Source organism: Homo sapiens, chromosome X, assembly GCF_000001405.40.
Source record: "Homo sapiens chromosome X, GRCh38.p14 Primary Assembly".
NCBI classification, from domain to species: domain Eukaryota; kingdom Metazoa; phylum Chordata; class Mammalia; order Primates; family Hominidae; genus Homo; species Homo sapiens.
In genome coordinates this window covers 50616875-50631084 of record NC_000023.11, presented here as the reverse complement: position 1 = coordinate 50631084, position 14210 = coordinate 50616875, and the positions used below count along the sequence as shown (strand labels likewise).

At 41.4% G+C, this 14210-nt stretch overlaps 1 protein-coding gene across 17 annotated transcripts in view; it reads left to right on the top strand.

Annotated features, from left to right (window-relative positions):
* The window catches only part of SHROOM4 (shroom family member 4), a 238661-nt gene that overhangs the window by 183110 nt on the left and 41341 nt on the right, over positions 1-14210 (top strand). For 8 of the 17 annotated variants that reach the window (XR_007068197.1, XR_007068196.1, NR_172068.1 and 5 more), the window contains one exon: positions 3410-3471. Coding sequence is in view for 8 of the 17 variants with exons in the window: in XM_047442279.1 (XP_047298235.1) it covers positions 3410-3471 (62 nt within the window). In the remaining 9 variants the exon portion in view is untranslated. Of the gene's footprint in view, positions 1-3409; positions 3472-3995; positions 4259-12120; positions 12235-14210 lie in introns of those variants that run through there. The other 9 variants (XR_001755718.3, XR_001755717.3, XR_001755716.3 and 6 more) reach the window with 2 other exon arrangements.

The window sequence follows — 14210 nt, the reverse complement described above, 5'->3', positions numbered from 1 at the left end:
TCTGTTTTTTGTTTTTTTTGTTTGTTTGTATCAAGGTAATGCTAGCCTTAAAAAATGAGTTGGGATGTATTCCCTTCTCTTTTATTTTCAGGAAGAGTTTGTATAAAATGTCTTCCTTAAATGTTTGCTTGAATTCATCACTGAAGCCATCTGGGCCTGGAGGTTTTTTGGTAGAAAGCTTTTTAACTACAAATTCAATTTCTTTAATAGATTTGGGGACATTTAGGTCATCTATTTCTCCTTGAGTAAGCTTTAGTAGTTTGTGTCTTTCAAGAAATTTGTCCATTTCATTTACATTTTAAAATTTATGGGGATATAGTTGTTTTCAACTTACTTTAAAATGCACCAGGATTTTAAGATGGATTGGTAGATGGATAGAGGAGTAAATGGATATATGATAAGGCAAATATATCAAAATGTTAATTGTAGAATCTAGGTGCTGGGTATATGGGTGATCACTGTGAACTTCTTTCAACATTTTTGTATGTTTGAATATATTCATAATGTTGAAAAAAAGAGGAGAGGAAATATAAAATAATGGTTTTAAGGGCACCGAAGCTGGAACCAGACTGCCTGGTTTTGAATTTCTTCCCCCGAACTTACAATGCCTAAGCTTTCCCATCTAAAAGCATGGGGGTAGTAACAACACCTACTTCATAAGTTGGTTGTGGGGATTAAGTGATGTAACACATTTAAGACTCAGAGCAGTGACTGCCAGATTGTAATCATCTTATAAGTGAGTTATCATCTCTTAAAGGGACATTTTGGCTTAGCTTGAGAGACTTTTGCTGGAAGAAGGACTCACAGATAGACAGTAGACAAAGGGGGCTGAGATTGGGGGTGAGTGGGGCGGGGGAAGTGAGGAGATGACGGCTGCAGCGGTGTCAGCCCAGGACCAGCAGCTCTATAAGAGATGGAGGTACGATTTGCAGGTTGCAGCAATTGGCAGCAGTAATGCATGCGGGTGAGGCTGTGCCTACACCATGCCTCTATTTTTTGTACTCTGAGGGAGGGATACCTTGGGTTCCTAATGCTTGTTAGACCAGCTAAGCAGGTCTGCTTAGATACTAGGCATTCCGACACGTGGATGGCTGCCTAGGAGACACCACATGCCCATTTCTGCCCATCATCTGAACCTTCCACTCCTACTCCACCCCCCTCAAGAAATGGGAAAAACTTGCAGCATGGGTTAAGATGCCATCGCTCTGATGACTCAGGTACTTGTGGTGGTAGCTATCTGAAGTAGGGCTGAGATCCTGCTCCTAATGCCCCTGGACGAGGTTGGTGAACTAATTGTCTCCTGTTCAGTGCTGTGAAGACTGAAATCAGCATGCACTCACGTCCTTCATACCAGCTTGTTTTTCATTCATTGTCAAATTATTTCACTTACCAATTGTATGGGATAAGTTATAATAGGATCTCCCATTTTACAGCTGAGGAAGCTGAGAAAGCCAAGGCTCAGAGAGGTCACACATCTAGCAAGTGGCAGAGCCAGAATTTGAATAACATGACAGTAACTAGCATCTCAGTGTCTACTGGGCACCAGGTACTATTCTAGATGCTTTACATGTATCAAGTCATTGAGTTCTCAAGCAATATTATTATCGTGATTATACTATTATATAGTTGGGGAAACTGAGATAAAGAGAAGTTGAATGGCTTGCCTGAGGCCGCAAGTGAAAGGCAGGTGTGCGATTTGAATCCATGCTATCAAGCTCCAGAGGCCAAGCTCCTGACTGTGCTACACTGCCTCTCCATAAGCTGATTGCAAAGCCCAGGCCCTCTCTAGTGTGGCCGGATGCCCTCTAGCAGTATCACTTCCACTGGGACAGCAAGTTCCCATCACAATCTCCATTTGCAGCAAGCGGTGGGGATAACTGCCTCTTTGATTCAAAGGGTGCAAGCAATGTACCAGGAACCTATGTGGCTTAGGGAAAAAAAAAGTAGAGTGATACTGTGGACCTGGGAAGGTGGTTGGGAGTTGGTATAGGACTTTGGTTTGGCCACTGCTATTTACTGAGCACGTCCACAGGGCTAGACAGGGCATGGACAGGAAATCCTGGCCCCCACTGTGGTTGAACAAGTAATGGTGTCTTTGCAGGCAGGAACGTCTCACAAGGGCATCGAGGCAGAGTCTAAAGTACAAGTGGTTAGAGCTGTTCTGACATGCCAGATATAGGCAGGGACTGCTGTGGTCCTTTAAAAGCTGAAGCCAAGAAATAAACCTCAACTTTTCCATTGCTGCTAACATCCAGAGCCTCTTATGTGCCAAGCAATGTGCTAGGAGTTCTCTCTGCATATCTTATTTATTATCACTACTGGTCACCCAGATAGGAAACTGAGGTGAGGTTCAAGGAGGTAATATGAATAACCTCAAATAACACCACTATTAAGTGTCTTAGCCAGTGAGACTGCGCCAAGGATCTATGTTTATTCTGCTTCACCAGGCGTCTTACTTCCAGTAGGGAGACCTACTGGGGCAAAGGTAATAAAACTTTGAATGGGACTAATAGTAGTAGCATTGGAGAAAGAGGGAGTTTGGAAGATCAGTGAAATTTAGGAAAAACTGTGCATTCCCATTGAACTAAACTCTGAGTCTCTAGGTGTGGAGTATTGGATACAAAGAGAGAATCTGAAAGGCTAATTTGCATTCAGTTTGGAGCTAAAATAGGAAGGCAGGGACAGTTTTACAAACGGCACATATGGCTTGGCCTAGAAAAAAAAAAGAGTTGCTTGGACATGGCCCTTAAGGAAAAAATGCCCAGGGTAGAGAGTCTGCTCCTGTAATGTAGGGACTGTGGCAACCTGCACTCATATTCCCCAGAGATGGGCCCACCTCAGCCCCTGCCAGCAGATGTGGGCAGAGAAGGAGGAGCCACTGCAGTTGGAGGCATGCTGGCATACCTGCTGTCCCTCTGCCTCACCTGGGGAGAGGGTTGCTGCAGCCGGAGCTTCTGCCCTCAAAGCCCCCCTCAAGGGTCAGGGCTTCCAAGTAGATGCTTTCTCTGTTGGAAGAGGCAGGAGGAATGAGCAGGTTCACCCAGCAGAACAAACAAAAAGACCTCCATCTCTCTGTGCAGGCAAGAGCCAGGGCAAACAGCAAACATACTAAACTGGTTTTTAATGTGGTTTGGGAGGGGAGTGGAGAAAGAGGGAAACAGCATTCCTAGACCATGGTGTCCAGGTCCCTAAGTGCTCCCTTAGTCTCTGCATGTCTGCAGCAGTTTAGCAAGCCTGCCGACAGAAAGGCAGCCCTCCAGGTACAAATTTCTCAGCCTGCATAGCAGAGTAGAAGAAACAAGCTGGGGGGCTGGGCCAGACACCGGCTCCTGACCTCTTCACATTTTTGAGGCCATCTAGATACCTGGCTGCTCAAAGCTTTCTAACTTATCAGGATTTTTCTTTACAGGAATTTCCTGGGGACAAATGGAATCCAATAACAGGAAACAGGAAGACCAGCCAGTCAGGGAGGTAAGTGAGCGCTCAGGGAGTTGGGGTGGGTTGGTGCCTCTGGAGCTTCTGTAGAAATTGCTAAGGTCTTTGGTTTGCTTAGTTTCCTTTGAGGAAACTGGCCTGGTATCTAGACTAAGGGCTTGATACCATAGATATAATTCAGCCTGTCCCCCTGCCCCCCGCACTCCTAGATAGCTGGGTACAGACCAAACTGATTGCTAGGACATTTTGGAATATGCAAGTTTCCTGTATTAGACTGAGATCCTTGAGAGAGGACACCATACCTTGGTCATAGCTTTATTCTCTGTACCTAGTACGGTGCCCGATACAGAGAAGTTGCTCAAGAGGTACTTGTCATTTGCTTGCCAAATGAAGAAATGGAACCTCCTCCACCATTAATGGGTGAAATGACACAAAATAATGCTAGCTAACATTTCTTGAACACAGTGCTCTATTCTAGACCCCATTCAAATCATTTTACAAGTATGTATTTATCACTATGACCTTATGGAGTTGGTAATATTAGTCTCTCCATTTGACAGAGAGAAGAAATTGAGGCACACAGAGATACATTCATTTGCCTGAAGTCCCACAGCTAATCAGTTGACTAGACCCAGGCGGTCTAGCTTCAGGGACACTATACTACATTACAGTGTTTCTCTGAAATGGTTCTTTTACTGATTAGTCAGTGAAATAAGAGGACTTTATTGAAAACCTAATATAGGTCCTGCCTTTTTCTGGGCAAGGTGAGAAATACGAGCAAAAGAACAGCAGGAAGCACAGTGCCTGCCCACAGCTTGAGCAGGGAAGACTAACCCACACAAAGCTAAATGGCAATAATAATAAATTACCACTTGCCAAACAACCTATGTGCTGCAAGCCGAATTACACATATTATCTTATGCTTTATCTTCCCAACAACTCTGTCAGGTAGGTATGATTATAACTGGGGCGGTGGGTCTCAAAACTTGATTGCGCAATTGAAACACAGATAAATAGTTGGACCTGACCCTGCATCCTGAGAGTGATTCAGTAAGTGGGGAGTGGAGCTCAAAACCTGCAATTCGAACAGGCTCAAACAGCATCTGGGTGATGCTGATGCAGCTGGTCCTGGGATCCAGTTTGAGAATTGCTAACTCACATAAAGGGTCACAGTCAGAGAGCCTAAGGAATCTACTCAAGGTCTCACAGCTAGTAAAGGGATAAGCTAGGAATTAAGCCCAGCTTTTACTTTCTCACACAAGTTGACAGAAGATGAAACCCTGTCAAATACAGGGCTTAAGAAGCACCTGGCACCTGGTAAGGGGGCAGCACGTGGTAACTATTACTGTACACTATTTAAGTTCATTGGAGGATAAAAATAACTGAGGGTTGGTAGCTGTAAGAGGAAAGGCCCATAGAGGAGACTAAGCAGGGTGTGTTGGAGGAATAATCCCCACTGGTTAAGTTCTGGCCTTGGAGTCAGTTCTGCCTGGGTACAAAGCCAGATTCTTCTATTCACTAGCCATGTGGCCTTGGCAAGTGCCTACCTGCCTGCCTCACTCCCTCTCTCTCTTTCCCTTCCCCCCTTATTTATAAAATGGGATAAGAGTACCTATCTCAAATGTTTGTTGTTATGAGGACTAAATGAATTAATATATGTAAAGCATTTAGAGCAAAACCTGACACCGTAAACTCTCAGGAAATGTTATCTGTAATGAGGAGGAAGAAGAACAGCAGCAGCAGAGAAGAAAGGTGAGTAGTGAAGCACTGGACCAGCCTAGGCAGGCCTTGACCAGCCTAGGTAGACCAGCCTAGGTAAACCTAGATAGGATCACAAACATGGGAGCAATGAAAGGTTACCATCAGGTAAGTGATATGATAAATGTGGCCCTTTAGGCAACTTTGCAGTGTTTGCAGCCTAAGTGGGTTGAAGAGAGACCAATTAGGAGAAGTGATCTGGCCATGACAGAATGTGGCCCTGGATTGGGGAGGTAGAGGTGCGATAGAAATGGAGCAGAAGGAATAGATAAATAGGTGTGATATTTGGGGGAGGGGAGTTTGTTTATTGTAAAAACAATATTACAGGAAATTAAAAATAGAAGAAAAAAAAACCTTATTGTCACCACCTTAACACCTTGGTTGTTTTCATTTCCCTGTCAGCTTTATCTATAGGTATAGAGAGTTTTCTAAGCATGATTATAATAACCATGTAGATGTAATTTTGTGTGTCCTGCTTCTTTTTCCTCTCTAAGCATTATGTGGTAAACAACTTTTCATGTTGCTATGCAGGCTTCCTCAAGTCATAATTTTTAGTGGCTGTATAATATTTCACCAGCTTAATATGCTCTAATTTGCTTAATCATTCCCAAATTGTTGGGTAAATAGGTTGTTTCCAATTTCTGGCTATTATAAAGTAATGCAGCAGAAATATTTTGAGTCACTATAGCTTTTTTTCTCATTTTGAATTATCTCATTAAAAACAATTATGTGGAGTTGGGATTACTAGTGCAAACAATACAAACATTCTTATGGTTCTTCATAGATCTTACCAAACTGTTTTCCCCACGAGATGTTTTACATGCCATTAGCAATATATGAGCATACCAGTTTTCCAAAATTATGTCACCATTGAAAATTTTCTTTTTCTAATGCCATACAGTTTGATGGGACCTATTATAGTATTAATTTGCTTACTTTGATAATTCTAGTTTGAATATTTTGTGTGTCTAATTAATATATTAATATCTTTATTGCTTCTCATGTGAATTATCTGTTCAGATTATTTGCTCACAAATATGTGACACCTTTTGAGGGCAAGGTAGAGAAAACTTGGTGACTAGAACTTGAGGAGAAAAAAGGAAATATATCTTAGCCAAGCATGAGATAGTACACACCTGTAGTCCTAACTGCTCAGGAGGCTGAGGTGGGAGGATCACTTAAGCCCAGGTGTTCGAGGCGGCAGTGAGCTGTGATCACATGACCGCATTCCATCCTGGGTGACAGAGCGAGACCCTGTCTCAAAAAAAAAAAAAAAAAGATAAAAAGATAAAAAACAACTCTGAGCCCCAGTGACTTGGAGAATGTTATTGGCATAGATGGGGCACTTGAGAAGGGGACCTGGTTTGGTGAAGATGCTGCTAAGTTTGAATTGGGATATGTTGTATTTGAAGTTAGTGGAAGATACAAGTTGAGTCTTTCAAGGCTTGTCAAACACCCAGCCAGGGCACAGGATGAGGAAGAAGAATCAACAAAGGAAACTGAAGGGTCAAGCAGCTGAAGTAGTAGAAGGAGAAATCTGCCAGTGTAGAAGATAAGCAGATGACTGTTAATGCCCTTAACAGTTTGGAATTACAAGTGACCTTCAAGAAAGCAAATTCAGTAAAGCGGTAGGCATAGAAAATAGATGGCATGGTGGTCTGTAAGGGGGGAGCACAGAGAAGAAATGCAAGCAGCTTTTAAGTGTACCTGTTTTAAGTGTACAATTTAATGCAATTTAAATGCAAGTACCTGTTCTAAGTGTACAATTCAATGATTTTTAGTAAATTTACAGTGATGTACAATCACCACAATCAAGTTTTAGAACATTTCTATCACCCTAAAAAGACCCCTCATGCCCATTAGCCATTGCTCTCCATTCCCACTCTCAACCTTAAGCAACCACTAATCTACTTTGTCTTTATAGATCTTCCTTTTCTGTGCACTGCATATGACTCTAATCGCACAATATGTGGTCTTTTATGCCTGACTCCTTTCACTTAGCATAATGTTTAGCAGTTCATCCATGTATCAGTACTTCGTTCCTTTTTATTTCCAAATAATATTCCATTGTATGGATGCATCACATTTTGTTTACTAGTCCTTCCACTAATGGATTGTTGGGTTGTTTTCACTTTTTGGCTATTGTGAATATTACTGCTATGAACATTCATGTACAAGTTTCTGTGTAGATTTATGTTTTTAATTATCTTTGGTACATATTTAAGAGTGAAATTGCTGGGCCAAATGGTAATTTTATTGTTTAACTTTTTGAGGAACTGCCCGTTTTCTAAAGCGACTGCACCATTTTACATTCCCACCAGCAAAAGAGAGTTCCAGTTTCTTTTGGCTAATTTTACTACAAAGATTAATTGTTACTGTGTGGTTTTTAAAATGTTTAAAAAGGGGCCCGGCGCGGTGGCTCACACCTGTAATCTCAACACTTTGGTAGGCCGAAGCCGGCAGATCCCTTGAGGTCAGGAGTTCGAGACCAGCTTGGCCAACATGGTGAAACCCCGTCTCTACTAAAAATATAAAAATTAGCCAGCCATGGTGGCAGGCGCCTGTAATCCCAGCTACTCAGGAGGCTGAGGCAGGAGAATCGCTTGAATCTGGGACGCGGATGTTGCAGTGAGCCAAGATTGTGATACTGCACTCCAGCCTGGGCAACAGAACGAGACTCTGTCTCAAAAGAAAAAAAAATGTTTAAAAAGGAAGATGTTTAAAAATAGTAAATTAGCTAGGAAAAGGAAAGAGAGAAATAGGATGATAGTTAGAGGGAGCAATTGGGTTTAATTTAGTGGTTCTCAAAATGTGGCCCCAGGCCCAGCAACCTCAGTATCACCTGAGAACTTGTTAGAAATGCACATTCTCAGGCCATACTCAGACCTACTGATTCAGAAAGTGAGGATGTGGCCCAGCAATCTCTGTTTTAACAAGCCCTCCAGGCAATTCTGACGCAAGCTAAGTTTCAGAACCACCAGTTCAAATGAAACTTCAGTCAGAATCTAGAAAACTGAATTAAGTTTAAAACAGAAAGGAAAGCTCAATAGAAAAGGAAGTATTGACACTGAAGATGGAAGAGGCAGGTCCCAATTAAAGGTCTCAGGAAACATGAGAAGGACTAGGAGATGTCCAGGGCATAGATGACATCTGTGAGGAGAAATCCTGATAGAGTTTCCCTTCACACCTTCCCCCACCACCACACACACAAATTTTAACATTTACTATGTTATTTCTGTAAAAACTGGAATGATGAGTGTAGGTGGAAAAATCAAATGTGTATTCTTAAGCCACTCTCTTTGCCTGGAAGCCTGCAATGAATTGCTAATTTCAGGTAGTTATACTCTTAGTTGTCTTCCTCCACTGTTATTTGGTTTTCCGTGAAGAGAATGTAAAAATTGTAATATTAGCAGGAGGGATAAAAATGGTGAGTAGATCTACTGGGAGAAAAAGCTACATTACTGTGATATATTTAAAAGCCAAAATAAGTTATTTTCTGGATTATCTCTCTTGGTTTTCTGTACCTATGATTGCCTGCTGTGACCCTTTCCATTTTTTTCACTTTGCACAGAACTTTAGAATGTGTAGGGTGTTTTTATATGCATGACCACAGTTAATTCTCACAACAACACTGAGGTTAAACCTTATTTTTCCCGTTTTACTGATGAGGAAGCCAAGACTCAGAAAAGGTATTATACCATTAACAGCAGCCACAACAGGTATAATAGCTAACATTTATTGAGTGTTTATTCTGTGTCAGACACTGTTGTAAGCATTTCATATGAAGTATTTTATTATTTGTAATAACCCCGTGAGAGCATTACTGTTTATTGACCCAGTTTTGCAGATGAAGAAATTGACTCACAAAGAGATTAAAGTCATTTGCCCAAGGTCAAACAGGCATCTGACTTCAGAGCCCATTACTACTGGGATTATACAGCAAGTAAGTGACCAAACTAGAGCTCTACTTAGGATTTTCCATTCTCAGCCTAGGGTTCTCTTCCTTCCCTTTGTCACACCACATCATGAGCAGAGTGTGAAATACCCGGTACAGAGTTCCTATTTACTGATTGAGTGAAAGAATATGGGTAATTCAGAGTTGAATCTGATTTCATTAGGAAGAGTACACTTTTCAGGAAGCCTTTACTACCTAAGAAGAATGCAGCCTTCAGAGGCTCGGAAGGATTTGTCACAAGTATAACTAAGTGAATTTAAATACTTAGGAATTAATTTAACGCCAGGCACACGAAACTTATTCAAGGAAAATTATAAAACTCTAATGGGAGAAATAATATGAATAAATGCATAGTGTATACTTTGCTTTAATTTAGGAAGACTGAATATAGTAATGATTACAATTCTCCCTAAATTTAATGTGTAGACATAATGTACTCCAATTGTAGTCACCATGGGATACTTTATAGAATTTGTCAAATTTATAGTAAAATTTATCTGGAAGAATAAGTAAGTGGGCGGAAATACCAAAGAGTACATTTATTTTAAAAGTTAATGATGGTAGACTTACCCTATCAGATTTTAAAGCGTATCATAAAACAACAATTATCAAAACCATATGATAGTGGGTTAAAAAAAGTCAAACAGTGAAATTAAAAAAGAGCTTCTAGAAACAGACTCAAGCTATTTTAAGTATATAGGACACACTGGAAACAACCCTGAACTGGGGAAAGCAATTACTATTTCTTTAAAAAATGTTGGGAATTTTAGATATCAATATGGAGAATAATTAACTTAGATTCATATCACATACTGTATAGAAAGTGGACCAGTAGAATCGCATATTTATTCCAGGTGTGGATGGAAGATAAATTTGTGTCTGTTAAATGGAGGATATCATCAGAGACAAGATCGATGGATTCAAATATATAAAAGTTGGTGGGGGGGAAGCCTTTGTACAACAAAATGTAATAAAAAGCTAAGCAACAGAACGAGGAAAATGTCTGGGATCAGCATCACTGACAACAGTTGCATGTCCAAAAAATATATATATAAAAATGGGTAGAAGGTCAGCTTTCAGATTTAGCTTCGTAAGTGGGCAAGGAAAATGAACAGGCAATTTACACATGAGGCAATAAAGGGAGTAAAATCATTGCATGGAAAAGTACCACCTCTCTAGCAATTAAAGAAGTACAAATAGAAGCAACTTCAAGGCATCATAATCTGCTTATTAAACTATCAGCAATTAAAAAAATCAATAAATAGAAATTGTAAAATGCTACCTTGGCAAGGCTGTGAGGAAACGTGCTTCTGGAAACAATACAAATTGGTTTAGTCTTCCTAGAGGGCAATCTAGAAAAATGTGACAAGAGTATGTGTTTCTGGGTTTAGTCTTCCTAGAGGACAATCTAGAAATATGTGTTCATATTATTTGGCCTAAAATACCCCCAAGGAAATAACCTAAGAGGGAAAAAATTATTTAAAGATGTTCATAGTAGTGCTTATTATACTCATGGAAAGAGTTTACCAATCTAATATATCATCATCTTGGAACAAAATAGAATAGCCATCAACAGTGACAGGTATACAAATGTTGGGTCTTTCCCAGAAATGAGTGGTTGTAATATTAACAAAAAAATAATAAATATGAAACCACATGTTGAATCTAATCTGATAGTAGCCATACACAAAGAAAATTCAGAAAGGAATCTGGCAAAATGTAAATAGTTGGATATGAATGTACATGGTGTTCTTTAGGTACATGTCAAGTTGTTGGAATTTATAATTAAAAAGAAAATCTGAATAAGAGGTGGCCCACGTTGGTTTGATATAGACCCGAGAAGTTAAAGATCAAGGGCTTTGTAAAAAATCCCCGTACCAATGACAGACAATGTTACTTACCAGACATGCTTACTCTCACTGCTAGCTAGAATTGGGTTTGCTAGAATTCTCCATCCACTAGCACTTTTGCTTGCTTAAATCCACAAGAACTTTGACATCACCAGACCTCTACGAATCTCCAAATTTGTCACCACCACTACAACATAGTACCCCCTCACACACACCCCCACCAATAAACATTTTATTATCTGCCTCAGAACCATCCCTTTCTTAAAGCTTTTCCATTTCCCTTCATTTCTATCACTAGCACTAGTTTGCATTTCAGTGCTATTATTCACAAAGAAGCACATTTTCTCTCTACCACAGTGACTGCATATGTATGTATTACTTGACAACAAATATAGATTGGGGTCATTGGAGAGAAGGAGCTAAGCTTCACCCAGGACAGCCCCAGTAAAGCAAGGACTTCTCTGATTTCTTCACAGGACACTTTGCATCAGCCTCCTGAGGACTAGAGAAGGTTCAGGGCAAGCACTGCCACTTGCATTTGTTGTTGCCAAGCTAATTGTTCATTACTTGAATTTCTGTGGGCCCGGGGGCAAGCAGGGGTGGCAGCAACAGGCTCTCTGGGTCCTTCTCCCCTCCCTGTGTATCCTCCTTGCGTCTCACTTCCTGGATCTTGCAAATATTTCCTTCGGCAATAACCTGGGAGTGTCTGTTTCTCTTGGAGCAGTCTTACTTGGCTGCTGAGGGAAGGGAAAGGCGAGACGGGTTGGGCTTGTGTGCTGTTGCTACTGAGATTCTAGAATGCCAAGCTATTGTGGTGAGCTTAAAAATAAAGTTTCCAAACAAGAAACTTCAAAAGGGCCGAGGAAGAGGTAGGAGGAGATTTTTCAGTCTCTGCAAATATTGGTTTTCATTTTCAATTCCTATTAGGCCAAAAAAAAATATTTTAACAAAAAGGGAAAATCCGTTCTTCAGAAGAAAAGGCAACCCATGGAAGCGGAAAAGAGATGAACAACCCTGGTTTTGGCAGGCAATTTACTTTTGTTTTTGAGATGTAGTCTCCTTGCTGATGTCAACAAAGCCCTTTCTCATAGTTTGCTTTCATGCTTCCTCTGCTTTCCTCAGTGAGGCGCTAAAGCCTTCATGGACGCCCGAGGATGAATGTAGCACAAGTACCTTTTGCTGTACCCCAGGAGTCCCTGCTTCCCTGCGATTATCTCTCAGAGACAGACAAGGCAGGTCTGGACACTGTGCTTTTTACTAGCTGGGAAAATGATTTATCCTTTTTAAGCCTCAGGAGTCTCATCTGCAAACTGACAATAATGGTTGTTGTGAAGATTAATGGAAATACATACGTGAAAGTGCCTAACACGGGGCCCAACACTTGGCAACCAGAGTAGTCGACTGGGTGCGGTGGCTCACGCCTGTAATCCCAGAACTTTGGGAGGCCAAGGTGGATAGATCACTTGAGGTCAGGAGTTCGAGACCAACCTGGCCAACATGGCAAAAACCAGTTTCTACTAAAAATACAAAAATTAGCTAGGCATGGTGGCACACGGGGAGGCTGAGGCATGAGAATCACTTGAACCTGGGAGGCAGAGGTTGCAGTCGGCCAAGATTGCGCCACTGCACTCTAGACTGGGCAAGACACTGTCTCAAAAATAAGAAAGGAAGGAAGGAAGGAAGGAAGGAAGGAAGGAAGGAAGGAAGGAAGGAAGGAAGGAAGGAAGGAAGGAAGGAAGGAAGGAAGGAAGGAAGGAAGGAAGGAAGGAAGGAAGGAAGGAAGGAAGGAAGGAAGGAAGGAAGGAAGGGGAAGAGAAGAGAAGAAAAGAAAGAAACCAGAGTAGTTCCTTTTCCTTAATGAAGCTCCTTGCCCTCCACTCCAAGGAAAGAATCCTTACTTGGTCTCAAAGCAGAGTTGCAAATTTCTGTACATTTAGGAGGCCTGATCCCCTTGAAAATAGGACTTCTAGAGGCCAACCAATATCCTTGGCTTGAGGCTGACACCCTTCAATGGAAGCCTCCCTTTCACCATCACCATTTTGCTTCAATTGTTAAAGCCAGGAAGACAGGAGCAACATTGGTTTTGCTCCCCTTTGATCTGGTCATCTTGCACAGTGTAATATTCAGCAAGGATTTGTTGAAGGAATGACTAGTACACACGTTGGCCCAGATGATCCCATTAAGGGTAGCCCTTCCCCTTCTGGAGTTGGTCTTCTTCTGCCTGCTTGATATAAGTGACTCTGCAAGTCTCAGGCTGCCCCAACACAGGGCAAGTGAGTGGGAGGGCAGTGGTTTTAAAATGAGGGCTGATGCAGAGAATAGCAATTCCCAAGTTGCCTTGTGCCCAGTACCTCCAGATAGGGTCACAGTTCCATGACTTGGGGCACCAGATGTCCCTAGAAGGGCATGTTCTTTTCTTCCAACTGTTTCTGGAGTTTATTACCGGGATGGGGTGGGGGGGGGGATTTTTTTAAGGCTAACACACATAGTTAGTACTTAAGACACCTTTGAATATCCAGACCTTTTGATTGTCACACTGCTCTTAACCCTAAACTTGCCTTTTATTATATCTCCCTTTTTAGTAGATAGGAAAAGTTTGAGTGAATGAGTCCAGGCTTAAACTCCTTAGTAAACTAGGGCCTCCTGGCTAGTCAGCTATGTGGTTGAGCTGGGACTTGAGGTCTCCTGGTTTCTTGGCTATTGAGCAGGGTTGAACATTAATCAGGGAGTGCAGTCCAATTCTCTTGATGGGAACAAGGAGCAAGCCTGAAGCATACAATTGTGAAGGCAATTTTCCATGTTCCTAGCATCATTTCTAGGTCCTTTTTACATAGTTCATCCTTATGACTGCTTATTTGTAAGATAGGTATTTTGTTGAAAATGAGGTAAGTGAAATACCTTGCTCAAGGTCACACAGCTTTTGAGTTATAGAGCCAGATTTTTAAATTTTATTGGAATTCAGACCCAAGTCTTTCCAACACTGTGTTCTTTCTGCTTTGCTCAATTGCCTGTCCTGTGCCCTGGTTAGGGAAGAAGAAAATGTGGTAAATTTGATTGTTATCATGGAGCAGGGTTGTTTTCATCACAGCTGCAATACATTGGCCCAATTGTTGCCTTTGAGGATATTGCTGCATTTCATAAAATCTACATCGGAGGTGAAGGTCGGGAGAGAGGCAGGGACAGGAGATAGAAATGGGCAACCAGGTGTGTGT